Below are 27,718 nucleotides of genomic sequence, written 5' to 3' on the forward strand. Positions count from 1 at the left end.
GCCTAGATTTTACAGATCTGGGAACTGAGGTCTAGAGAAGGAAAGACATTCACCCAAAGTTGTTTTGTTAACAAGCAGTAATTAGAGCAAATAGCTCATAGGCACGCTGATTAGAATCAGTCTCCTGGATCCTTCCTTCCTTCACCTCAGCTACTTCAAGGGGGGATGGATTGCCTTGACTTTCTGTCGATTGATAAGCAGAGATGTGCCATCTGTGCCATTTGGCACAAGGAAGACCAAAGTGACCTTTCACCGCCCCACCCTCACTACCAGGTATATCCAACTGGAACCAGCCCCATATGGTTGCCCCTGGGCCTTTCTTCCTGCCATTTCCTCTCTGCCCGGCCCAAATCCTAACCATGTTTCAGGTACCATCTCTTCCAAGAAGCTAGCCTGGATTCTCGCAGTCTAACCGAGTTTCTTTTTCCACTGAACACCCAAGCTCTTCACTTTGGTGGATGTTTCCCCTTTCTCCCTTGGCAGGGGATGTGTCCTGATGGCAGGGACTGGGCCTTCTTACCCTGGTCCTCCACAGCCTGGCCTTTCCCAGCCTCAGCCTCAGCCTCCTTCTCTTTCTTTGTGCTGGGTTTAATTTCATTTAAGTACATTACCCGCCAAGCCAGCCAGTCTACTCGTAGGCCTCCTGAACTCTCTCTCTGTCCATTCAATGTAAACCCATTTCCTCTTGTTTCAGCATCTTGGGAAATGGAAAATGAGTCCTCACATTTCTTCGGATGCTTAAAAGCAAACTAGGTCCCACCCTGAAGTCTCAGCCTCCCAACACTTGATGCCTTCCTGATTGGCATCAAGGGCGGAGACGGAGCAGCTGATTTTCACGTGGGCGGCCTCTCCTTTCTCTCCTGCTCCAGCGGCTGTGAGGGTTATCGGCTCAAGCTGCAGGACTCCGCCCCTCCCTCCCTCAGGCCATGTGTGTGGGAGGGGAAGGGAACTGACATTTCACTCCAGCCCTTAGATTCTTTGTCACCACTGCTCCTTGGCACCTGCCTCCCCTGGCTGTACCTGTACCGGGGCAGCCTGAGAAGCCACCGAGGGTGAAACACTTCTTTTCTTTTAAGCTCTAAATTCATTTTCATGCCAAGCTGCTTGTATTTGCCTGCCTGGCTGCCGAAGGTAACTGAAATGTGCACAAAATGCCACAAGCCTGGCTTTGTGCGGAAGCTTAAGTCCCGGTGGCCCTGCCCCCAGGGCTCGCCTGCTCGCTCGCATCTCCAGCAGCCCGCCGAGATTTCCTTGGGTTTTATTAGCTCTGACCCTACACTGGGAGAGGAACTCATCAGACACACTTCACATCTTGCCTCCTCCACCTCTGGCTAAGAACCGTCGCCCCGATTACGGGAAGTATTTGTTCCCCAGTTCTCTGATAATTCTGTCAGGAGCCTGCGTAAGGCTCAAGTGTCAGGCTGCAGGAGCTGCTGCTGACAGCCCCTTGGAGGCAGCTGGCCTGCGGAGGGGGCCGGCGGGGGAGTTTGCAACAGAGTGCCGGGTTCTCTGGTCTCTTCCTCCAGCTTAAAAATGGGGTTAATAATATAACCATACTACCATTCCTTCCAGAGTTGGTATGAGATTCCAATTAGATGAGGATGTACTGGGAGCTCCCTGGGAGAAAAATACTATTATAAAATCATAGAGGTTTAAACTAGATGCAGTTAGAATGAGAGTCTGGGCCTCTCATTCTACAGATGGAAAAACTAAGGCTTGGGAAAGGAAGTTACCAAAGTCAAAGTCAGACAGTGACTAGTCCTGGCTTGAAAACTAGTTTCCATATTTTTTCAGCTGGAGGGAGGAGGGGAAAAAGAACGGCAGGGAAACCATCCCTGTGTGAATTAAGAGTGCAACAGAGGGAAAGAACAGACTCCTAGCTCAGCCCCGCCAAGGCCCAGACAACTAAGGCGGTGCCTTCATCTATGAAACAGACTCATCTATGAGAGGGGCATTGTGATGCCCTGTCCACAGCTCTTCAGAGAGGATTAATGGAATAATATGTATAAAGTACCTGGCACGTCGTGAGCTCCCCAAACACAAATTCCTTCCCTTTTCTTATTTGATCTTAAACAGCATCACAAATGCTTTCAAAAAGGGAAGCACAAAGGAAACATTTCCTTCGGAGCCGAATGTTGCCCCCAAAATCACGAACTTCGAACTCCCTTTCCTTTGAGGGCCTTTCTTATACAGTGAAATTGCCACTTGCCCCCGTCAGTGTAATGAGGAAGTAGAAATATGACTTCTCTCTCCTCTCCACTATTTCTGCTGTATAAGAGCTTCCTCACAGGTATGCAGGGCAGCAGCTCTTAATGGAGCTGTGGCCAGATCCTCACGGAGAGGAAAGCGATTTCTATGAGATTAGCTGAGTGGTGAGGATAATACAGTTATGATCCAATAAACATCCTGATGAGGGTCATTTGTGTGCCCTTCCTCCTGCTGCGCCTCCACAGGCCTGGTTCAGGCTCTGATTGGAAGGAGCGTAGAGACAGCTGAGGCTAGGGCCAGCCAGTCAGTTTGGCCTGGGGACACGCTAGGATGGAGAAGTCAGTTGAACAACCCCAGCCAGTAAGGCAGGAGATTCAGGTTCTAACCTCTGCCCTGCCACCAGATTATTCCTTTCCTGCACCTCATCTTTCTCCTCTGTATGTCAAAGGTGGAGATCATAGGAAAAGAGCAGAACTTGGGATCCAAATTCCCCATATTCAAGCCCCAGCCCTGCCTTTTATTAGCCATGCAAGGTCCGGCCCTTTATTCCATCCATTCAGTCTGTACAAGGCTTTGTGCTACTTGCCTTTGGTCTTCAGTTTGCTCATCCAGGAATGGGCATAATAATACCAACTTCAGAGGCTGGTTTGGGGGATTAAGAGAAAAATACGTACGAGGAGCATCCACAGACCATGAAACACAGAAGGGACAATAACTTTTTGCTTTCCTCTAAGGTTCCTTTTCGTTGACTTTCTCTGATTCTTTTAAAATATTTGCTGGTGGTGGATGTATAAGAGGAGCTCCAAAATTACTTGTTGAATGAATGAATTCAACTGTAAAGCAGAATATTAAACAGCCAAGAGGGAACTAGCCCTTTAGAAGGTACGCTACAGAACCAGGACCTGGTCACAGGACTCAGCCAACCTTACCATGCACGGAGGGCTCCTCCATCTAGTCCCGTAGACAAAAAAGAAGGCCGGCCAGCCCGTGTCAACGGAGCACGTTTACAGGCTCATTCTGTGCCAGGTGGACATCTCAACTCTACCCTCTCACAATCTGAGCAGTTGCTGGCTTTCCACAACCAAGAAATAGCAGGCAAGTCTTAGTAACTCATGAAAGGTTTCTGCAGGCTTCTGCCTTTGAAAAAGCTGCAAGGCTAAACTGTATTCACAGCGGCCTCTAGTGGCAAATTTCCAAAATAGCATGCTAAATGGAAACTTGGCAGCTGGAGGAATCTTCTCAGAATGACCTAGATTCCCAAACTGGGGGCTAGTTCAAATCTTCCCTTAATGAATGAGCGCTCCAAGTTCCAGAAGTAAAGTGATTCATCAAAGGTCACAAAAAGGCCTCACATCCCTCAGTCCATAAACCTTGCCCACAACTGGCCATCTGTGGTTTCAGATGCAATTAAGGATCTTGAGTTATCCATTTGGAAAAACAATCGGGAACCCAATTCCCAAATCAGGCCAAGCCAACCTTAGAGTGAGACCCTAACATGTTTTCTTCCCACTTTGCTTCTCTCTCATCTGTAAGAGTGTTGCTGGAAGATCCCCTATCTTGGTATTTACCTAAAAAGTAGTAACTCACTCTTTAGGCAACAGGACTCTGAGACCACAAAGTGCTTCTTTGTAAGCGGTAAACTCCACCGCTTTAACGTGCTTTTCAATGCTTCCTCCTCCACATGTTGCAAGAATATGGTGCCAAAAGGGGCCCCAGTGATGGCTCTGACTGGCTTGAGGATCTGGGGGCAGCAATCGTGTTTGTGTGGGGAAAGCTATTTTGACATATTCTGGAGACACAATCCAAAAATACATCAGGCTGAGGACTTCCAGAGAGCTCAGTGGAAAGGCTTGGCTGCCATACCAGCTGAAGCCTGGGTTTGGAGAGTTGGGGTACAGCAATTTCTACAAGAGGATCTCAATCTTTTTCTGATGGAGAACATTTTATTTGATACATTCAGCAATAACCTCAAATTACTACACAAGGTGCTGGGAAGACTTACAGAGGGGAGTAAGACAAGGTCCTTGTTCTCAGAGGTTAGCCCAGTGGGAGGGAGAAGCTGTGAGGTGAGAGGCTGAGACAGGTCAGGCTGTGTATATGTCGAGATGAAGAGGTAGGACAGGTGTGTGGTGGCTTCAAGGGCCACTGGTAGTAACAACAACTAGCATTTTGGGGGTGTTTTCTAAATGCCAGTTCCTGTTCTAAATACCTGTTCTAGCTCATTTAATCTTCACAATAGCCCTTGAAGTTTGGCCCATTATTCTCATTTTATAGTGGAAGAAACTAAAGCACAGAGAAATTAAGAAACTTAAGTTCATGCTGCTGCTAAGTGGTGGAGCTGGGATCTGAACCCCGACAGTCAGGTTCCAGAGCTCTTTCCCCCAATGTCATCTTTGTTGATGCTCTTTTCCCTGCATTTTCTGTGATGTCTACTGATCACCCAATCTCACCCACCCTGGTGTCCACACAAGGTATCTCAGTGCCACATACCAGGGTCTGAAGTCCATGTTGTACTGCTGTGGGAACAGAACACTTTCATAAAGCTCAATCCCAGTAGCCAAAGCCAGCAGCTTATGTTAAAGCTCATCGTGTGCTTTGAATCTCTTCACTCTTCCAAGACCACCAGGATGAGGTGGAGAGCTCTGCTCCAGGAGGCATAAGATTGGTTCATGGTCCTGACTGCCCTTGCTCTTAGGGAAACCCCCCCTCCCCAGTTTCATGTTGGACAAATGTGACCTCTAGGACCTCACTACTCAAAGGGTGGTGTCTGGACCGGCAGTCACCATCTCCTGGGAGCTGGCGAGAACTGCAGACTCTCTGGCTGAGTGCTGAGTCAGAAGCTGCTTCCTAACAGGCTCCCTCAGTGATTCCTGCATGTAGTCATGTGAGAAGCCCTGGGCTAGGGCCCTTGGGCCATATTCTTTATAGTCTGTGTGCCAAGCTTCTCTTATCCATCATCCCAGGGGCACCTGTTTGAAAGCCTTTTCCACTGGTGTATCTACTTCCAACTTTAAGCCTTCTCCAAATGTCTAGAATCTCTTTCCCTTCCCCCACGAGAAGCAGCAGAGAGCTGTCTCTCTCCTGTGCCTTGATGAGCCCCCCATGGTCCTCCACACCTATCTTCAATAATCCCCATCCAAGTTTTAAACTTATCCTTGTTTTCTCCTGATAAGCCAGGAGAAAGCTCACCACCCTCACCGTGATGAGATGTAACAAAAATGAACTATCTCTAGTACACCCCACTTTTATGAGACCTGTCTCAATGGTACTAATCCTGACAGGATGTAGACACTCATATGACCAAAGAATTAAGCAGGATTCCTTTTAGATGAGCTTCCCTTATAAGGAAACGGGAACTTCTACAACTCTGGCTAACTGGCAGAACCACAAATTGTGAAACAATTCAAGCTTCACTCTCTGAGGTCATATCCTCTATGAAAACTGGTATGTGCCCACGTGACTGCCTTAGCATGGATTTGGTGTCCCTTTCCAAAAACAAGGAACTGTGCCTGTGTGGCTCTCCTCCCAAGGCATGCAGAACCTTCTTTGCTTCAGAGTAGCCATGATACGTTTCCACCACGCCTGTGCCTTGGATGAAAGTGGAGATTTTCAGGATTACGATTCTGGGAGGTTAGTGAACAGGTGCTATTCCTTGCTCTCAGAGGCAGATCCAATTATGTCCACCCAGTTCAGGCTGAAAGAAATACATTTCTATTTTTTCCAGAGTGTAGAACACTACTTTGCATACAAAAACCATCTCTGGGAAGTTACAAAGTCATTTATATGGTTTGTTGTTGGGTTTTGCTTTTTTGCTATTGAGAGAAAAGAGAAAGGTAGAGAAAGAGGTTGAAGGTAGGGAAGGCTTGGGGAACAGAACCTTGTTTGGCCATTCCATAAAGTAAATCACCATTTCCAAAATTGATAGAGTAGTAAGAAACATTAAAGTTATAATCCCCTCTTCAAGGAGCTACCAGCTTAAGGAACCAAACACCACAACATATACTGCCTCTGGTCCCATAATAATGTGCAGGTGGGCTCTCTGCAAATTCCAGGGATGGTGCAGGTCTCTTAGCACATACACCTGGTTCACTTACAGGTAATCCCCCCAACATGGTTTGGCTCTGTGTCCCCACCCAAATCTCATCTCGAATTGTAATCCTCTGTGTCGAGGGAGGGATCTGGTGGGAGGTGACTGATCATGGGGCATTTTCCCCCTGCATGCTGTTCTCACGATAGTGAGGGAGATCTCATGAGATCTGATGGTTTAAATATGGTGGTTTCCCCCGTGCTCGCTCTCTCTCCTGCCACCTTGTAAAGAAGGTGCTTGCTTCTCCTTTGCCTTCCACCATTATTGTAAGTTTCCTGAGGTCTCCCTAGCCATGTGGAACTGTGAGTCAATTAAACCTCTCTTGTTTATAAATTACCTAGTCTCAGGTAGTGTCTTTATAGCAATGTGAAAACAGATGAATACACCTCTTATTCAGAAATGTCAATTTCTGTCACTTAATTCTTTCTCTGGTTCTGCCCTTTTAAAGTTAGAATTGCTCTTAAAGAGGGAGAAGTCTACTGGAGATCCACAAGCCTAAAATGATGTGAAATCTTGAACATTCAATCTCTGTACTACTACTTAAGATGACTGGGATTAAAATGACCATTGGAACCTCATACAATATTTAGAATCAGACCACAGCAGCAATTTCAACCATCAATGGCATTTTATTGTGGAAGTTTCTATGTATTACATAGGTATTAACTTCCTTCCTCTCCTGCTCCTCCCCACAAAATCCAGAAAGTTATTTTTATACATAAACAACTGAACATATAAAAATCTTGGACCTAATTTCTCTAAAGTCTTGGGTTAAAAGAACTTGAGTGGCGCTTCTCCTTTCTGAGAGTACTACTTCTCAAGGAGGATTCATGGTCTGTCCTTTGCTCACTACAGATTTCTCCTCTTCTCTGGGAAAAAATGGTCAATGCTTCTGCTTCCTTTTAATAAACTAATTTCTTGATTATTATACATTATTATTATTCCCCACTTGACACCTTCTTAGAAACTTGATTGTTGGATGTGTTTTTCATTTGGCAAAAATTCAATGTGGCTTTGCGTGGGATGTCTGAAGTGTCAGAAACAGCACTGTTGATGTTCTGGTTTTGAGAGGGAAAATATATATAGAGATGCATACATTCCCTAGAAGAACAAATGTAAAAGACTGAAATAGGGCGTGCACAGAGTTAAGAGGGCTGACAGACACTACTTGGTTTGGAATTCTGTGGCTGTCAGCCATCAAGGACTGCTGTGTAGGCCAGAATATAAATCTCCTTAGGAAGAAGTTTGGTTAGGCAAAACCACTGAGAAATGACAGTGGCTGCTACATTGTTCGACGTATATCAGAGCAGACATGCACAAGAAGCAGCATTATGGTTCATGTGTAGTAAGTAGTCACCTATTGATAAACAGGGGCATTTGTGCAAATGCTCTGGCAACCTAGGCACTGGGGGAAGAGAAAAGAAGCATCCTATTAAAATGTACTTCCATCTCTAACTCACCCAAGATGCCAGGCCTCCTAAGCTTCATGACTTGCAAAGCCAAAATGAATTTAGCATTACATGTCATTCTATGTCATCTAGAAGCTGGTTCACTGGGGCCATCTCAGAAGAGCTGCTCAAGAGGGTAGCAAGTCTACCCAGAAGGGTATGCCTTAATGATCTTCACGTCGTCCACAGGGCGGTCCTGGGAGTTTGTTTCTACCATTCCCACGCGATTCACCATTCCTATGCCCTGACACACTCGGCCAAAAATGGTGTGTTTGCCGTCAAGCCACTGGGTGGGGGCGAGGGTCACAAAGAACTGGCTGCCATTGGTATCTGGCCCCGCATTGGCCATTGCGAGAATTCCAGCCCCTGGTGGGAAAAAGGAAGAAAGGAAAGAGTATAAATAACCCCACAGGTCCAGTGTAGAGCTGCTGCCCCATCCTAGGGATGAAAAAGCAGCCAGGACTTTGTTCTGGCCTCTGTCCAGACCCAGACAACCCCTCAGGGCAGTCTCTCTGCCCTGTACAAAGGCCATCACTACACTATTCTGGCGACTTCATCTTCCTTGTCCTCACCTATTCCCCAGCCTTGACCCCTGATGCTCCTCACTAACTGTGGACCATGTTCCTGACTGCCCTCAAAAACCCAGCAAGGTTTCCTGTTTCTTTGAGGACACTTTTGATATCCTGTGACCTTTAACAAGTAGTTAGAGTCTAGAACACACCGACCAGTGCTCTGAATTGCTCAGAACTTTGTGAGAGGCGCTGCTTTCTCTAATCCACCAGGGCACTTCATGGCGCCATGGCTGGGCAGCTATCTGGCACCATGCCACGGTGTCAGGCATTCACCTTGAATCATGGCCAAAAGAGTGAGCTTTTAAAATCCCCGTTCCTACCCAGTCCAGCCAAATTATACACTTACCCGTGAATTTCAAGTCTGGATGAAGTTCATCTTCAAACTGTTTGCCATAGATAGATGCACCACCTCGACCTGCCCGATTGGAAGATGACACATGAATCAGCCAGTCACACATTCTATCTCACAGCAAGAATGATGGCCCAGGGTCAAAGGATTTCTCAGAGTAGAGGAAAGGAAAAGGCAGTGACACCTACCCCACTGCTAGGTATATTGCAACTACAGAATCTAGCACTAATAGCACATTCAAATCATTGGTTTCATTCCGATAAGACTTTCCTTTTCAAAATAACGCTATTTTTTCCTGCACATTAAAATAATACATGTTCACTATCAAAAAGGTAGAAAACATAGAACATTATCAAAAGAACATTAAAATCCTCTGTAACCTGACCATCTAGAGATAACCACCATTCATAATCTGATGTGTTAAGAGGTTTCTTGATTTTTAACCTTTTTTTGAGTATTTTAGACATGAGTGCCCCAAGTCCTATCCCTGTGCCCATCACAGACATTGCCAATCAATCAGTATTCTTCCCTGCTGAGCTAGATTTGCCTCTGAATGTTATCAACCCAGAACTCAGGCAGCCGTTATTAATTAATCAGTAATAGCCCCAGAGTTGAAACCTATTTGCCACCCTTAACCTAGGTGATGGAAAATAAAATTCATTTAAGTTAAAGCTATCCAGCTGAAGGAGAAATAGCTGGTAAGTGGCAATGTGGCAGAAAGGGACATTACGGTCGGCAGAGTCCACTGAGAGGTGAGGCAGTACATCATTAAGAGAAAACAGGGCCAGGTGTGGTGGCTCACATCTAAAATCTCAGCACTTTGGGAAGCTGAGGCAGGAGGACTGCTGGAGGCCAGGAGTTTGAGCTGGGCCACAGAGCGAGACCCTGACTCCATAAATTTTTTTTTTTTAGAGATGGGGTCTTGCTACGTTGCCCAGGCTGGTCTCAAACTCCTGGCGTCAAGCAATCCTCCCTCCTTGGCTTCCCAAGTGCTGGGATTATAGGCGTGAACCACTGCACCTGGCTCACAAAAAAATTTTAAAATTCAGCCAGATGTGGTAGCACATGCCTGTAGTCCCAGCTCCTTAGGAGGCTGAGGCAGGAGGACTGCTTTGAGCCCAGGAGTTTGAGTTTACGGTGAGCTATGATCATGTCAGTATACTCCAGTCTAGGCAAGAGGCAAAACCTTGACTCTAAATAAATGAATAAAGGGAAAATGAAGAAACATGGGATTGGGAATTATTTGCTAGCAGCATCACCACCAAATGTTATTTATATTATGCCCACAAGAGCAGGGTGCTGGGCTGGATACCCTAAGCTCAGGCAGGTTTTGCTCTAAGAGCAAAAGGATGTAAGTTAGACCAGGCGCGGTGGCTCATGCCTATAATCCCAGCACGTTGGAAGGCCAAGGCAGGTGGATCACGAGGTCATGAGTTCGAGACCAGCCTGGCCAACATAGTGAAACCCCCATCTCTACTAAAAATACAAAAAAAAAATTAGCCAGGCATGGTGGCACACACCTGTAGTCCCAGCTACTTGGGAGGCTGAGGCAGGAGAATTGCTTGAACCCAGTAGGTGGAGGTTGCAGTGAGCCGAGATCATGCCATTGCACTCCAGCCTGGGCGACAGAGCAAGACTGTCTCAAAAAAAAAAAAAAAAAAAAAAAAAGATGTAAGTTAAACATGGTTTTCTCACAGGAAAACATGTCAAAACAGGAGGCAACTTTCCTAACCAATACTAATCAATTATGTAGTCAATCATATGCCTTACTGAACTACATTGGTTTCTCCAAGTTGAACGGTCACGACAAAACAGCCTAGAACAAAGTAAACACTGGATTGGTACTCTGCTTGCCCTGCAGCCCAGTGCTGGCAGCTCACTTCCTCTACTGCCTGCTATAAAAGTAGCACCAAGTCCACCCCCAAGGCCCCTGGGCATGGCTAAGGTGTTTCCATGGCAAAAATCCTTTGCTTTACCTTTTAGTCGGCTTCACCACAGGGAGCCTGTCACAGCCCCCGTTTCTTTTCCGGAAGAAAACACTGTTCTCATGCAAAGAGGGATGGGGGTGAATCCTAACAGACTAGGGGAAACCTCCCACTTGGCCCAGGCTACCTATGCTTCTGGAAAAATACTGAACCACACTAAACTGTGTAAAACTCATTCCAAAAATTCCAACCTGTCAGTATACTTCCAAACAGCAATTATATAACCAATATGTTCCCTCTGACTCAATCCTCCCCTTTGCTTGGTCCTTTGGCAACCACTAGAGAGTCAAGGTTCCTGGCTGGGGTTACCAGAGACTAGGGAGAGGGCTGTGGGGCCAGACGCCACAGAGGCCAGGCTCTGCGTGCAGGACTTGAGTGAGCAAGCTAAGGATTCAGTTCAGTAGTACGCTGTCAGTCTGTGGCCTGAGCTTCAAAGTGTGATCCCTGCAACCTGAGGGCTACCAGAACAAACCCCCCAGGACCCTGCCCTCTAGGAATGGTAAACTATCACACAAACATCACCACAAACAAGAAGTGCATTAAGGAATAGGTCAGTCAAGAGTCACAGATGGGCTGGGCATGGTGGCTCACACCTGTAATTCCAGCACTTTGGGAGGCCGAGGCAGGCAGATCATGAGGTCAGGAGTTTGAGACCAGCCTGACCAACATGGTGAAACCCCATCACTAATAAAAATACAAAAATTAGCCAGGCGTGGTGGCACGTGCCTGTAATCCCAGCTACTTGGGAGGCTGAGGCAGGAGAATCGCTTGAACCTGGGAGGCAGAGGTTGCAGTGAGCTGAGATCGCACCACTGCACTGCAGCCCAGGCAACAGAGTGAGACCCTGTCTCAAAAAAAAAAAAAAAAAAAAAAAGTCACAGATGAAGTGGGAATCAGAGGATACAGGAGGAAAGAGCATGGAGATCACCTTTACTCAATAGGCAGAGTTTTCATAATATCTTACTCATAATATGTTATCTTTTCATAACCCAATTCAACTCAGTAGGGTTTGCGGCAAAATTTCAGAAAGACAAATCATTCTAATTCAAACATTCCTCTGGGCACGTGGAATAAGTGAGAGGTGGCAGAGGGACAGAGAATGATTAAAGAGTTCTCCAGTGCAGAGCATGCTACTCAGATGTCAATTATCAGTTAGAAAGCCAACAATTTGGAAGCTTTGCAGGTTCTGTGCCTGGTCTAGCACAGACACAATGAAGATAGGCAGACCTGTTTTCTATTGTGTGTGTGTGTGTGTGTGTGTGTGTGTGTGTTTTGAGACAGAATCTCACTCTATCACCAGGCTGGAGTGCAGTGGTGCGATCTCGGCTCACTGCAACTTCTGCCTCCCGGGTTCAAGTGATTTTCCTGCCTCAGCCTCCTGAGTAGCTGGGACTACAGGCGCCCGCCACCATGCCCAGCTAATTTTTGTATTTTTAGTAGAGATGGGGTTTCACCATGTTGCCCAGGATGGTCTCAATCTTGACCTCATGATCTGCCAGGCTCGGCCTCCCAAAGTGCTGGGATTACAGGTGTGAGCCACCACACCCGGCCAAGACCTGTTTTCTAACCTTTGATTACAGGTTAGAAAAGAACCTTCAAGATTCTTTTCTGGCCAGGTACAAGTGGCTCACACCTATAATCCCAACACTTTGGGAGGCTGAAGGGGGCGGATCTCTTAAGCCCAGGAGTTGAGACCAGCCTAAGCAACATGGTGAAACTCGTCTCTACAAAAATTAGCCAGGCGTGGTTGTGCGTGCCTGCAGTCCCAGCTACAGCTACTCAGGTGGCTGAGGTGAGAGGATCACTCAAGCCCAGTAGGTCGAGGCTAGAGTGAGCTGTGATTGCGCCATTGCACTCCTGTCTGTCTCCAAAAAAAAAGAGATTCTTTTCCTCTTCTGTCCTCTGTCCTCTCTTGGGATCATTTATTCAATGTATTTATTTCAGACACGCAAACATACAAAGAATAATATGACCAATATCTATGACCACCTCCGCCCCCAAGAAATAAACTATTGCAAATCCAGCTAAGACCCCATGCATACACCCCACTGCATCTCTCCCCACCACTCATTCTCCTGAGAGCTAACAGCTGATTCAAAGAATCACATTTTCCTCTCAGGTAACCACTATTCTGACAAGAATTTGGCATTTCCATGCATTTTCTTTTTTACTACACATATATGTATCCCTAAAAAAAAAAAAAAAAAAGTATTGCTGTTTTGCATGTTTTTAAGCTTTTTTACTACACATCTATGTACCCCTAAAAAAAAAAAGTATTGTTGTTTTGCATGTTTTTAAGCTTACATAAGTGGTATTACACTTTATATATTCTCAACACTGTTTGAGAGACTCATCTACTTTGTTCCAGGCAGGTCTCTGTAGTGTTCACCTCACTGTATGACCATAATGCTCTGTCTTATCTTTTCTGGTGTTGATACTGAGGATCTTTCCAATGTTTTGGTTATTATCGACCATGCTATAAAAACTATTCTTATACTGTCTCCGAAATCCAAGTGCAAGAGCTCTCGGGGGCCAATACCTCACAGGGGATACACAGGGTCATAGTTTGAGTATTTCATCATTGCTAGATTTTTCTAAGTGCCTTATTGAAAAGGATGAACCAACATGCACCCCACCCCGCAGCACTCTCACTCTTACTGCTCTAGGTCCTTCTGTCAGTCTGAGAAGTGTGAGACCTCTTGTGGTGTTTTAAACTGCATTTCTCTGAAGTTTGGCATAATTTCATGTTTACTGGCTTATTTAGCTTGTCCCCTCTGTGAACGGCCACTCAGTGGTATGACATTTTGGAATTGATACATACAGTCATCCCTTGGTATACTCAGGGGATTGGTTCCAGGATCCCTGTGACACCAAAATCCCTGCTCGCTCAAGTCCCGCTGTGGGCTCTGAGAAAACTGTATGGACCTCCATGGTTCAAACCCATGTTGGTAAAGGCTCAACTATATACTATAGATACTAATCCTCTGTCAGTGAATGTTTTGCAAATACCTTCTCCCAGTTAACTTTTTTCACTCTTGTAATGGGATCTTCCAATGAACAGAACCTTTGCAGTTAACATTTCTTAACCTTCTTCTTTATGATCTGTGTTTTTTTTTTTTTTTAATTCCTTTTTTTTTTCTGAGACAGAGTTTCGCTCTTGTGGCCCAGGCTGGAGTGCAATGGTGCCATCTTGGCTCACCGCAACCTCCGCCTCCCAGGTTTAAGCAATTCTCCTGCCTCAGCCTCCCGAGTAGCTGGGATTACAGGCATGCGCCACCATGCCTGGCTAATTTTGTATTTTTAGTAGAGACGGGATTTCTCCATGTCGGTCAGGCTGGCCTCAAACTCCTGACCTCAGGTGATCTGCCTACCTCGGCTTCCCAAAGTGCTGGGATTACAGGTGTGAGCCACTGTGCCTGGCCTGTGTTGTTTCTTAAAAACAAAACACAAAAAACCCTTTTCTCATCCCTGTGACTCCTGTGATGTCCCTTCCTCCTCCTCTTAGTCACTGTGGAAACCTGTCAAAATGATGTCTAAGGCATGGGACATGCAGTGTCTTACACCAAGATGACCACACTTGGTGCTACTTGTCCCCGCCCCTCCCACCCCACAGTTGATGGGACAATAGATTAATATCCAGCCCCACAGATGGGCAGTGGCCTATAAGGAGAGCCAGTGGGGCACCTGACACCAGAGGGCAACTGACCAATCAAAGCCTCTCTTCTGGCAAGAGTGCCTCTAACAGACACTGTCCGTCAGTAGTCTCCTGAGCATCCCCAGCCTCCTCCTCCACAGCCTGCCTCAACCTCAGAGACAAAAAAGGCAGGTGCTGACAAGTCCATTTTGCAGACAGGCGTGGCCAGATGACCCAGTTGTGACTTACTGATACAAACAGAAGTCGCTGAGTCAAGCTTCTGAGAAAGCTACAGCTTTCCTGATAAAAACAGACATACTCTTTTGTCCTTCATCTACAGCTCTTTCCCATCTTCCTTCTTTGAAAGTAGGGTGATGCCAGAACAGCAGCAGCCATCTTGCAACCATAAGACTAACAAGTTCAAGACCAAAGGCCAACACATTACGAATGAAGTGGGGAAAGATATGGCAAGCCTAGATCCCTGACAACTCTTCTGGGCTGGTGAAGAGATGACAATAACTGCTCACTTCCAGACGTTCTGTTGTGTAAGAAAAAACAGCCCGTGGGATTAGGTTTTCTGTTACTTGTAGCCAAAAGCAGTGCTACCTGACACAAACACTTTGTTAATATACCAGACGGGAACAATGCCACAGTCCTCCAAGGGGCTTTGTGGTTCTGAAGATGCTGTCTTCTCTTTCTCACTTGCCTTTGGGGTCAGAGACGTCTGGATTCCAGTTCTGACCCCACCAATTACTGTTTAACCTTAATCAAGACACTTTCTCTCCAAGCCTCAGTTCCCCTGTCTGCAAAATGGGAGTAGCAGTAACACCTATGTCTCACAGGCTTGTTATGAGAATTAAATGAGACAGCATATGGAAGCTATCTGGTGTGTAACATGAGGCAAACACACAGTAGTGTCAGTGATGAAGAGCCCCTTTAACTGAGGTAACCCGAGCATTTTCTCTGAGAAGCTGCTGGTCATGATTCAAAGTGCCACCTCGGGAGGCAGCCTGCCTGGGTTTATTCAGTTCCTCTGTCCTCAAATTTCCACCACTCCCTCGCTGCTGCTCACTCTTTGAGGAGAACCTTGCTTCTTATTTCACTGAGAAGAAGGAATTATCAGAAGAGAACTTTCACATGCTCTCACCACCAAAGCCCCTTCCCTTCCTACACCTCTACCCACCTCCCTTCCCTAAGACACTGTGTGAATAAGCTGTCCATGACTATCCTACCACCACGTACCCAATCCCGCTCACCTTTAAAGAACTCAGCAACTACAACCTCCCCCTCTAGTAGACCAATTTTTCTCTTTCTAATGGATCATTCCTGTCAGCATTTAAACATGTTATTGATATTTCCTATTTTAAAAAGCAAAACTCTATTTCCAAGTATCCTCCTATTTCTCTACATCCCTTCACAGAAAAACTCCTTGAAAAAGCTGTCAACACCAAGTGTCTCTACTTCTCCCCATTCTTGCTTGAACATGCTCCATTCAGACTTTCGCCCCTCACCGCTCCGCTGAAACTGCTCTTGTCAAGGTCGCCAGTGACCTCCACGTGGTTATACCCAGTGGTCAATCCTCAGCACTCACTTTACTTGATCCACACTCGATGTCACCCTTCTGCTTGAGTTGCTGTCTTCCTTTGGCTTCCACGACTCCACATTCTCCTGGTGTTCCTCGCTGCTCACTGGCAGCTGCTCCTCCTCCGCCCCTCTGCTTTCACAGGTGTTACTCAGGCCTGCGCTGCTGTGTGAAGACCTTCCCTTCCAAACCTGGTTCCCTGACCCTTTATCTTTCACAGGTGTTACCCAATAAACCTCTATCTTGGTGTTTGCTTCCCAGAGGACCAGAACTAACACAGCTGCTATCACCCTAGTTCAAACAACAACCATCTCCAGCTTGAATAGGAATAAAAGCTTCCCACTGGTCTCCTTGCTTCCAGCCTTGCCTCCCTCTTTCCCCACCCTCTATTCTTCACATGGTAGCCACAGGGATCCTTTTCAAACAAGCCTAATCGCAGCACTCCCCTGCTTGAAACCCTCCATCAACACTGTATCACTCTGAGAACAAAATCCACAATCCTCACCACAGCTTACAACACCCCCCACGATTGGGCACTCTGCTACTCTCTGAGCTATCTCCTGCCACTCTCTCAGGTGTTCCAGCTACACTGGCCCCTGTGCTGTTTCCTGCCAGGCACACTCTGGTCTAAGGCCTCTGGCTGCTGTTCTCTTCAGAGTGCCCTTGGCCTGGATGGTCTCATGGATCACCACTTCATTTCATTCAGAACTATGGTCAAATGCTCTCAGAGAGGTTTCCCTAATCACACTCTCCAAACCAGCACTTCCCTCACCCTCTAGCCTAGTGGTTCTCAACGGGGAGTGATTTTGACCCCTGGCGACAGTGGGCAATGTCTGGAGACAATTTGGGTTGTCACACTGAGTGGTTCTATCAGTATCAAGCAGTTAGAAGCCATCACGAAGCTAACCATCCTTCAATGCACAGGACAGCACCCCCTCCAACAAAGAATCATCCAGCTCTAAATGTCAATAGTGCCTAGGTTGAGAAATCCTGTTCCATCCCAGCAGTACATTCTTTTTTCCATATCATCTGCCATCCCTGAGAGTATATTATGTACTTTTTCATTCTCCGTCTCTCACCAGAATGAGAGCACCGCGAGGGCTTTCTTATTCACTGTTGTATCTCCAGCTTTTAGAAGAGTGCCTGGCCTACAGAAGGAGTCTAATAGGTATTTGTTAAATGAATTAACAATAAAAAAAAAAAACCAGTCACATTTGTTTGAGCTCCCACTTTGTGTCAAGCCCATGCTAACCACTGTACCAACATCAGCTCATTTACTACTCACAACCAGCCTAGGAGGTGCACGTAACCACACTCCCGACAGGTGAGCTGGCTCAGCAGGGTAAGGCAACTCCTCTACATTTAGTAAGTATTCATGTGAAGCACAAGGCAAGCCCAAGCTCCACAGTCCTGCTCTACCCTGAACCAAACTGTCTTGCCATAGTCCACAGCTGGATGAAATTTCCTCAGATTTGTCTTATCCCAGACTCAAGAGTCCCAAATGGTCCCTGAGTCATGCTCAATCAAATCTGAACTCCTCTGTCTAGGAGTCTCCATTAACTGGCCCCAAACTGCTCCTTACTGTCCCCTAAACAGGCAGTTCCGAGATCTGTAAATTTTACAGGGGCCTTTGAATCACATTTGATGCATTTGTTCTGGGTGTGGAGAGGTGGCTGGGTGATGTCACAAGAGCCAGTCTAGAGTGGAAGATGTGACACCGGGGGTGGCGGGCTCCCTCCCTACCCCTGCATGCCTCTGTCACTCCTGCCCTGTACCCACCCTTCTTCCTAAATTCAAAATGCCCTTCCCTCTACTTCCCAAGACCCATCTCGCATATGCCTCCTTCCCATCCTAATCTCATTCCATTGTGCTTTTTCCCTTATTGTGAATTACTCCAACCTATATTATATACATAATCCACACCGTACTATCATACATTTGCATATTTATATTATCCCATTCTAGTTGTTTCTTATAATGAATAGTTTGTTTCCTGGCAGGGCAGGGAACTGCAAGGAAAAAGAAAATGCCTTGGCTTTTAATGCTTAAGTGCTTCTCCCAGGCCTTAGAATAGCACAGGATACCCAGCAGACTCTTGGCAAATACTCATCAAATGAATAAAATTAACAGAGCTTGCTGTTCAACACGTTACATTTCAGGTGTTCCTGGGGCTACCAAGAGGAGAGATGAAATCAAAGTGAGAGTGACGCACAGGATAATCAGCATATAATTAATCACAGCAGCTGGTGAGCACTGTGAGGCCAAGTGCAGAGCAGGAAGAGCTAAAGGAAGAACTTGACAGGATGTTATGTCTTACAGAGAGGACAGAAAGGTTAGTAGAAACAAATAAAAGACACTCAGAGGGCTAAGGAAAGAGCCTCTATAGTTATTATAATATGGGAAAGTTGAAGGTAGAAAAATGGTTTAAAATGAAATGAAGCAGGAAGTCAAAGGGTATTTGAATTGACAAGGCATCTGGCAAAGATGTATTACAAGAAAGCATGTGGAAAGAATGGTTCCACAGTAGTCAGACTGAGGGACAGCTGGGAATGGAAGTGGTACATCAACTTGCTGAAGAGCCCAGGATGTCATTTGCTGCCCATCTGAGATGTTTAACAAAAAACGTGTCACCTAATCAGCTAGAAAATATGAACTAGTGACCCAGGAGAGCCTAACTCCTGCTTGCCTTCCACCATAGACCTGCCAGTGGGCTGCTCAGTCATTCATTATACTTGAGGCTGGGTGCAGTTATTTGAAGATCTTTTGAGTGATTCAATTTCATTAAAATTACACCATGGAAATGTGACATTATGAAGGATCATGAACCAACTACAGAAATACAGAAAAGCTGTGGCATGAGCAACTCACACCTGAGTCACTTCCAATACTTGTACCCTAATCATGGACTCTCAGTTCACTGGTATTAAGAATTAAAATTTATTTCATAACAACATGAGGGGGAGAGAGGAAGAAGACAGGAAAGAAGTACATCGAAGTACCGACGGAACCCTTTCAGACAAAGAAAGTAGAATGAAGCAGGACTAGACTCTGCCTCCCTGTTGTGCCGAACCTCTATTGACTCCAATGGGGATGGCATCAGGTTCAATAGACCGAAGAGACCTAATGCCAGCAAATGAGACATGGGGTTTTATTGGGGACTTACATACAGGGCAGAGAGTCCAATGGTGGCGGAGAACCACAATGGCTTGCAAAAAGCATGCAGTTTATATAGCATTTCCACTTAGCACCTTCTCCCTAACAATCTCCACCTGGCAATCTTCATTCAACTCAAAACTCGGGGCCTCAACCCGTGTGCGGCCCATGTTTCACAGGACGAGCCAGGGGCTCAGATGTCCCTTTATAGACAAGGAAGGAACCTCCAGGTTGGCTACTCCTGGATTCCCTAGCTCAGAACACACATTCAGATGCGTCTGCCATACAGGGTCATTCTAAGGGTATGTTTCAGTTATTGCTATCAGGCACGTTTACCACATGCTCCCAACACCCAATAAAGTGAACATACAAAAATTAAAAATTAAAAAGTCAAAAGTTCACCAGCATCAACCAAATAAGAAAAGGGAACCAAACATGCTAAAATTGTAAAAAGAGTCAGCCAAGAGGAAAAAATAGAAAATTCTTCCATCTGTATTCCCTGAAACCAGTAACCAGGAAAGAAATGTCATGCTGAGATTCTCACAAATACCCTCCGATTCTGAACAGCCAACAGGGGAGTGGGTGAGCAGCTCTGAAAACAAAGCCCTTGAGGGCAGAAGCCCACACATATCACAGGGGCTCGGGAGTGGCAGGGCAGGCACGCAGGGCTGGCCACCTTCCAGGGTGCTGGGCCATACTTGGGGACTACCCAGAGCCTGGAGTGGTGACAGAGGGACACCACTGGCTGGTGGAGGGGGCTCTGGGACAAGACTTTAAGGGAGTCTGGGAAGATAGAACAGAGGCTAGCCCTCCCACAAGGGGCTCGCTCAGCATGAGCTGAGCTCCAGTTCTCTCCCACACCTCTTCAGGCTAGAATAGAATAGAGAGAAAGCAACCTAACATTTGAAGTGGGGAAGACAACCAGTTCCACATAAGTGGGGAGAATGACAAGGAGACTCCACTTACACTGTATCTGAGCAAGTAAAAGGTGGGGATAATGTAGGTGTTGACATCAAGCATGGATAAGATGAAAACAAATGGCATGGAAACTAGGCAAACATACCACAACCAACAGAAGGACAGAAAGGAGGAGGGGAGAAAGGAAAAGAAAACCCAGGAACTCAGCCTGGGAGAAAGTGGCTTCTCCATGGCTATCTCAAGCTATGGATGATTCAAGAGAAGTAAAAATATAATATAACAAAAGCTCAAAGACAAGATAATACACCACAGAATAAGATGAAAAGATTGCAGAGTGAAGGAAACAAATTTAGATTCAAATGGCATCAGTAATGAGCTAGTAGATAAATTAGAGCAGTAAAGAACAGAATAAAAATGACTGAAAATTGAGTAAGGCACAGAGTAAAGGTCTGAGATTATTTTAGTGAATGCAGGGAAAAAAGAAAAAAAAATCCTATCACACAATCAAAAGAAATATGATAGATATGGAAGGCAAAGGTGATGAAACAAATAACTATATTTCCTGAAATAGAAAATCCAGTAAGTATAACAGAGAAAATATTCAGAAATAGAAATCAAAAAATTAACCCTGATGTAAAGGAAGGAGTAAATCTGGCCTCAGTATTCTCCAAAACCATATTCAAAAATGAGAAGGCAGCCAGGCATGATGGCTCATGCCTGTAATCCCAACATTTTGGAAGGCCGAGGCAGGAGGATCACTTAGGCCCAGGAGTTTGAGACCGGCCTCAGCAACAGTGAGACCTCAACTCTATAAAAAATTTAAAAATTAGTGAGGCATGCTGGTGAATGCCTGTAGTCTCAGCTACTCGGGAGGCTGAGGTAGGAGAAATGCTTGAGCCCAGGGGATGGAGATTGCAGTGAGCCATGATTGTATCACTGTACTCGAGCCTGGGCCTAGGTGACAGAGCAAGATCCTGTCTCCAAAAACAACAACAACAACAACAAAAACAAACAACAACAAAAAACCAAACCAGAAGGCAATTGATCAGAAATGTCTAAAAAGATCTCAGAATGCTATACCCAGTTATGGTCTTTTTTTCTTCCTTTTAAATATTTTTATTTTATTTTAATTTATTTATTTAGAGATAGTGTCTCACTGTGTCGCTCAGGCTGGAGTGCAGTGGGCACAATCATGGCTCACTGCAGTCTCAACCTCCCAGGTTCAAGTGATCCTCCTACCTCAGCCTCCCAGTAGCTGGGATTACAGGCATATGCGACCATGCCCAGCTAATTTTTTATTTTTTGTAGAGACGGGGTCTCACTATGTCGCCCAGGCTGGTCTTGAACTCCTGAACTCAAGTGACCCTCCCGCCTCAGCCTCCAAAGTGCTAGGCTTACAGGTGTGAGCCACCATGCCTGGCCTAAAAAATTTATTTTAAAAAAGTAATTTATCTCTTACAGTTGTGGAGGCTGAGAAGTCCAAGGTCAAGTGGCCACATTTGGTGAGAGCCTTCTTGCTGGTGGGGACTCTGTGAAGTCCCAAAGTGGCACAGTGCATCACACAGTGAGGGGGCTGAGCATGCCAACATGCTATCTCTTTTCAAGTATAAAAGTAACAGGCAGAAATTCTGAAACATGAATGAACTTAAAAATACAACACATTCCAGCTCTTGTAACAAAAAACCACTGGACAATTGTGATTCTTGAGCATTCTGAAAAAAAAACACTAAAAAACCACTAGACAAGAAATCCTGCCCTCCAGCACTTGCGAAGGTAAAAGCGAAGCAAGTTGTGAACACTAAATACACTGAAACGTAGGACCCACACTGTAGCTGAAGGAATGATGAGTGCAGAACAGATAATAATAAAACTAACAACAAAAATTAAGGTCGGGGAAAAATAAGAATGGGTAGAAATTTAAGTACTAATTGCCTCATCTTTCACTGTAGGAAGTCAAATATTCTGTTCTATATATATGAAATTAAATGTAATATGTTCTGTTTTAAAAACAATAGCTTATATATCCTATTTTTTTGAAACTACTTCCATTTATCCTGTCATCCCTTAAACCAGACATGATGGGCACCAAAAGTTAACACTGTTCCTTTCTGAAAGATGGGATATTTAGGGATTAGTTAATGATGGTTAGAAATCTTTAGGAGCTATGCTTATGAATGATTTTTCCCCTTTTCTCTGCTTTCTTATATATTCTGTATTTTGAAATGCATCCATATACATTAAAAAAAAAAAAACCCAAAAACCTGAATGCTTCTGACCATAGATGATAAATCATGAGACGATTAAGAATGACAAAAAAGAACAAGACTGAGAAAAGACTCTGCTATAGAGAAAACCAAACTTGTTTAAAGGCAAACGAGCAGAAATTAGCAGAGAAGAAGCAGACTGAGAAGCAAGGGCCCTTGAAATGAGTAAGGGTTCCACCAGTTCACTAATAAACCCCATCTAAATGCCAGTAACTCCCAAATTAATACCTCCATACCAGGTCTTTCCCTGAACCCCATATTCCTATCCAACTACTTACTCATGAGCATAGTCGGCCCTCCCTACATGTGGGTTCTACATTCATGGGTTCAACTAACCGCGACTGAAAACATCTTGGGGGGAAGCATCTGTACTGAACATGTATAGAACTATTTTTCTTGTCATTACTCCCCAAACAATACAGTACAACAACTATTTACATAGTGTTTACATCTTGCCCCTACATCTATTCTCTAAACAGCAGCTAGAGTGATCCTTTTATTTATTTATTTATTTGAGAGGGAGTCTCAATCTGTTACCCAGGCTGGACTGCAGTGGTGCGATCTTGGCTCACTGCAACCTCCATCTCCTGGGTTCAAGCAATTCTTCTGCCTCAGCCTCCCGACTAAGAACCTGAGATTACAGGTGCCCACCAACCCGCCCGGCTAATTTTTGTATTTTAGTAGACAGAGCGTTTCACCATGTTGGTCAGGCTGGTCTTGAACTCCTGACCTCAAATGATCCAACTGCCTCGGGCTCCCAAAGTGCTGGGATTACAGGCGTGAGCCACCGTGCCCAGCCTAGAGTGATCCTTTTAAAGCATAGATCAGATCATGTCTTTCCTTTGCTCAAAACTCTCCAATGACTCACATCACATCTTACTCAGAATAAAACCCAGTCTCTACCATGCCCTATAAGGTATCATATCTTATGATTTCCAGCACAGGTTCCTGCCTCAGGGCCTCTGTGTTTGCTCTTCCCTCCATCCAAAATGTTCTCCCCACAGTTGCAAGGTTCACTTTCTTACTTCATTCAGATCTCTTCTCCAATAATGTCAGAGAGGAGTTCCCTGACTTTTCTACTAAAATTCCATCCCCACACCCTTTTCCTGCTTTATTGAGAGCAATAATTCTGTCTCTTTGTTTATAGGTATCTCCCTAGAGCTTAAAAAAGTATCTGACACAAAACAGGTACTCAGTATTTGTTAAATGAATGAATCGATAAAAGAACCCAGGATTTTATTATTCTCAAAATATTATAAAGTCTTTCCTTCTTATTGATCAGACTACTTGCATCACTATAATTCAGACAAATATTATTTGTTCTTAGTGAGCAGTACATGTAAGTTATGAAAAACTCTACCAAGCCTAGGAGTAAAGGTTGGTTTCTGGTCAATTCCACACATGTGTGTTTGAGGAAGGCAGGCGTTGTCACCAGAATCAACCAACACAGACCTTAGTAAGTGGAAAAGAGAGCTCTGGCTGCCTTATCACCTATTTACGACAGAGACTTCAGAAACTAATGCTGGCTTTAGAAAAAAAGACGAAAAGGAGAAAAAAAAAAGAAAACATAAACTAATGTTGGCTTAACTGTACCTGTCCCTGTTGGGTCACCTCCTTGGATCATGAAGTCTTTGATAATTCTGTGGAATTTTGTGCCATTGTAGTAACCTCGACGAGCCAACTCAGCAAAGTTCTTACAGGTCTTTGGAGCATGCTTCCAGTACAGCTCCAGCACAATGATTCCCATGCTGCAGAGGGAGAGGACAACAGCTCCAGTAAACAAAAAGGTCAGGGCAGACAGGAGTATTATGGAACTGCTCCAGGACTCTTGATTTTCAAGCTTGTAAGTCATGAAATTGTGATAACCACTGGATTTCATGCTCAGCAAAGGAAAACACCACAATGCAAGTAACATAAACACCCATTATCTTTTTTGAGTAAAACACGCAGGTGTTCTGGGTACTTCTTTTCAGCAAAATAACAAGCATGGAGAACTCAAAATTCTAATACTATACATATATACATATGTATATATATATAGCTATATCTGATTATCTGAAACCAATATAACCAACCCCTAAATTAGGAAAAAAATTCTTACACTTAATTTTTAATTTTTTAAAAAAAGAGACATTAAAATATCAGGAGTTCATATTTATTTAGAAGTTTCTGGGTGGGGGTAGGGACTGGGTAGATGGAAAATAGGAAGATGTTTAATGAATACCTTTTAAAAACTTTTGTATTTTTGATCCATGTAAATACATTACCTATTCAAAAAATTTCAATAAAAGGTACAGTTTGTGTTTGTTTGGGAGGGAGTATAACAAAGGCAAAACCTGGTAACTTTGAATCTTTGCACCTACCCAATAGGATGAGTGCTTTTTCCTCACCAGTACTACTAAAAGATAAGGAAGAGGCAAGAGAAAGGACGAGTGCCTTCCCCTCTACTCCAGCACATACCTAGACTTTAAGCTCCAAGGATGTGACAATTTTTTTTTTTTTGAGAAAGGGTCTCCTCTGTCACCCAGGTTACAGTGCAGTGGCACAATCTCAGCTTATCGCAACCTCCACCTCCCGGGCTCAAGTGATCCTCTCACCTCAGCCTCCTGAGTAGCTGGGACTACAGGCATGCATCACCAAGCTCAGCTAATTTGTTGTATTTTTTTGTAGAGATGGGGTTTCACCATGTTGCCCGGGCTTGTCTTGAACTCCTGGGCTCAAGCAATCTACCTGCCTTGGCCTCCCAAAGTGCTGGATTACAGATGTGAGCTATGGCACCTGGCCAGATGTGAGAATTGAGTCAACTCTGTATAGTCTGGATACCCAGTGCCTTGCACAGTGTAAACACTCTATAAGTATATGAGGAGTGTGCTAGAAAATAGCTAACAGCCTTTCTGCCTGAAATTCATCCAATTCATCTTTCACACTGCTCCCATTCAACACAGATTGACAGTTACTCTGTGTGTGGTACTCTTTCCCTCATGAAGCTTACATTCTGGAGGATATTTTCAAAATACAGAAAGTAGCCTTTTGGAAAGACAATCAGGAAGTACGTATACAATTCTGAAATGTGCATACCTCAGTAATTTCAACTTCCAAGTATCCTCTAGGAAAATATACAAAAGTGCCTAAGGATACAATATGTGCAAGGATGTTCATCTCAGTATTTGTCATAGCCAAAAAAAAAGGAAGCAACTTAAATGTCCTTGAAATAGGAAATGCCTAAAATATCAACTATCCATACTATGGGCAGCTACCTGAATTACTGAGTGAAAGAAAACCAAGTTACAGAAAAAACATACATACAGTATGATCATATGATCCCATTTTTTTGTTAAAAAAACATGAGAGAGGTTTATATGTACATAGAAAAAAGTCTGGACAATCATCCAACAAACTGTTGATGGTGTTTTCAGGAAGGAGGTGACTTTCACTTCTTACTCTGTATGTCTACATTGCTTGGATTTAACAATTTATTTTGTAACTTTAAAAAATACCAACAGGAGAATTCAGAAATTACAGGTTGGAGCCTGAAGATGTAGAATTTTGCCATATAAGGTGGGGAAGATGGCCAGGGAGCATGAAATGAACAGCATGAGCAAATAGAGAGAGGACTGACAGAACTCTGCTTTAGCTGAAAGCAGCAATGGGCAAGAACAGAAAGGCAGAGGACCTTGGCTGGTCCCTGGCTGTTGAGGGGAGAATGGCAGGTAGACAAGGGCCAGATGAAAAAAATCACCTTGAATGTCAGGATTAATACGTTTTTACTTTATACTGTTATAGCAGCAAGACGTTATTAAAGGTTTTTTGAGCAGGATCCCTTCCTTGTCCTACTTTGTAAAGATCACTTTGAGCTTTTTCCAAAGAGGCAATGGAATGAATAGAGCTAAAGGATCTAGCAAGGTGAGACGAGCACACCAGGCTCCAAACGAGGTTCTTCCAGTTACTAGCTGTGTGGCTTTGGTCAAGGCTTTAAGCTGTAAATTCCGGCGTTTCCTCCTGCTAATATTGAAAGGGAGAAAGTTAAATAATACCTTCATGATTTGAGTTGCTAAGATTAAACTAAATGAGATGACATACAGCGGGGCATGGCGCCAGCAGGTTGGTTACCACATCACTCTTTGATAGTGGGGAAAATGTGCTTCTTCCTGTATTTTACTGGAATTTGTTTCTACAACTGTATTACTTATCACGTAATGTTTACATGTCTGTCTCTTTCATTATACCGTAAGCTCCTAAAGGCAGGGCTGTCTGTGTTTTATCTACCTCTGTATCCTCAGAACTCATATTCCATATGCCTGGCTTGCGGACTCATTACACGTTTGTTGAATGAATGAATGAATGAATGAGCGGACTGGGGGAAGGAGGACAATCAGGCAGCTATTGCTGAGACCTCAGCACAAGACCCCGCGGAGCTTGGACGCGGGCGATGGCGGTCCCCTCTCAACCCTCTGGGGGCCGTCTCGGCCGCTGCTCCACGCCCCTCCACGTGGAGGCCGGCCTCCCGGAGGAACGCGCCAGGAACGCAGACCCGTGGTGAGGCCCGGGCTCCGCGTCTCCTCTGCCAGCCCCAGACGCCCGAACCCCCTCACCTGGTCTCCAAGTAAACGTTGGGTGGCTGCCAGGAATCTGGGGGAATTGCCGCCATAGCGAAGCCGGCGGCGGAATGCTTGTCTAGTAATTGCTACTTCCGGCGTCGATTAGCTGGGGACCCGTCGCTGCTGCACACTTCCGGTCCGTTCAACCCTTTCGATACCAGGATTTGGGTGGCCAAGACAAGGAAGAGGACGGTCCCTTCTTCCAATGCCGGGAAGCTGGGGTGGGAGACGAGAAGAAGCTGGGCTCAAGAACAGAGGAAAATGCAAACTTCATTCGCGGTGGTCTCCAAGTGGCGATACCGCGCCACTCTGGGCGATCTGATTGGTTCGTTTAGGCATGGAAGGCGGGAACAACCAGAAAAGCTGCGCTCTGGTTGGAGTTATGTCCTAATATTAAATTCGAAGAATTTCTTAGTCTCACAATTGGGCAGGGACGGGAAGGGGAGGCAGAGAATGAAAGAGGGTAGTTTAGAGATGCCAGTAAAGAATTTTTGTAAGGCGCTGTACGATGTACACAGTGCTTGCACTTTCTTATCTCATCTACTCCACAAAACAATTCTATAAGTAGATAGTATTATTACCATTTTTCAGATCTGAAAATAGACTCGGCAGTTAATACTTGTTTTTCCATAGTCATAAAGCAAATCTGAGCCTGCAGAATCCAAAGACGAGGAGTCTGAGGAGAAAAGAGAGGGAAGGGGCAGGAAGAAAATAGGAGATAAAGAAAGGAAGAGACAGGAGAAAACAGGACAAACGGATCAGAGCAAGAACAAGGCTTAACATTGGCTGGGATAGATGGTACCTGAAAGTTGTTAGGAGGGTTTGCGCAGGGCGCGAGGAACAGAAGCAAATTAGAGGAGCTATAATGTTTGGAGGGAGGACAAAAATGAAATAGAGTACCTAAACTTAACGCTGTAAAT

General features: G+C 44.9%; 2 protein-coding genes across 7 annotated transcripts in view, besides 3 other annotated features; one reads left to right on the forward strand and one right to left on the reverse strand.

Annotated features, from left to right (window-relative positions):
- Nucleotides 1–6,904: 6,904 nt before the first annotated feature.
- PPIL1 (peptidylprolyl isomerase like 1) lies at nucleotides 6,905–26,879 on the reverse strand. Its single transcript, NM_016059.5, has 4 exons — nucleotides 26,793–26,879; nucleotides 23,794–23,948; nucleotides 8,662–8,730; nucleotides 6,905–8,109 (listed from the first exon to the last, which is right to left on the reverse strand). Exons 1-4 carry the CDS (start codon nucleotides 26,846–26,848, stop codon nucleotides 7,889–7,891), a joined length of 501 nt encoding a protein of 166 aa, NP_057143.1. The 5' UTR covers nucleotides 26,849–26,879; the 3' UTR covers nucleotides 6,905–7,888.
- Nucleotides 11,905–12,406: an enhancer, noted in NCBI's record as "H3K27ac hESC enhancer chr6:36827605-36828106 (GRCh37/hg19 assembly coordinates)". NCBI's record gives its function as "activates a minimal SCP1, AML or CMV promoter by ChIP-STARR-seq in primed H9 embryonic stem cells {active_cell/tissue: H9 hESC(primed)}" and the evidence as "EXISTENCE:reporter gene assay evidence [ECO:0000049][PMID:30033119]".
- Nucleotides 19,705–20,204: an enhancer, noted in NCBI's record as "H3K4me1 hESC enhancer chr6:36835405-36835904 (GRCh37/hg19 assembly coordinates)". NCBI's record gives its function as "activates a minimal SCP1, AML or CMV promoter by ChIP-STARR-seq in naive and primed H9 embryonic stem cells {active_cell/tissue: H9 hESC(naive and primed)}" and the evidence as "EXISTENCE:reporter gene assay evidence [ECO:0000049][PMID:30033119]".
- Nucleotides 23,920–27,718, forward strand: part of C6orf89 (chromosome 6 open reading frame 89) — a 57,121-nt gene continuing 53,322 nt past the window's right edge. For 4 of the 6 annotated variants that reach the window (XM_047418339.1, XM_047418337.1, XM_047418342.1 and 1 more), the window contains exon 1: nucleotides 23,920–24,043. The gene's annotated coding sequence lies outside the window, so the exon portion shown is untranslated. The remainder of the gene's footprint in view (nucleotides 24,044–27,718) is intronic. The other 2 variants (XM_047418340.1, XM_047418338.1) reach the window with 1 other exon arrangement.
- Nucleotides 26,870–27,099: an enhancer, noted in NCBI's record as "active region_24445". NCBI's record gives its function as "activates an Ori minimal core promoter by ATAC-STARR-seq in GM12878 lymphoblastoid cells {active_cell/tissue: GM12878}" and the evidence as "EXISTENCE:reporter gene assay evidence [ECO:0000049][PMID:35858748]".

Source organism: Homo sapiens, chromosome 6 (assembly GCF_000001405.40).
Source record: "Homo sapiens chromosome 6, GRCh38.p14 Primary Assembly".
NCBI lineage: Eukaryota > Metazoa > Chordata > Mammalia > Primates > Hominidae > Homo > Homo sapiens.

Excerpts from the sequence above, each read along its gene's own strand:
- PPIL1 (NM_016059.5), bottom strand. The coding sequence starts at position 26,848 with ATGGCGGCAATTCCCCCAGATTCCTGGCAGCCACCCAACGTTTACTTG. Across the intron at positions 23,949-26,792 it reads AACGTTTACTTGGAGACCAG|CATGGGAATCATTGTGCTGG; the intron begins GTGAGGGGGTTC and ends CTCCCTCTGCAG. Across the intron at positions 8,110-8,661 it reads TCCAGACTTGAAATTCACGG|GGGCTGGAATTCTCGCAATG; the intron begins GTAAGTGTATAA and ends TTTTCCCACCAG.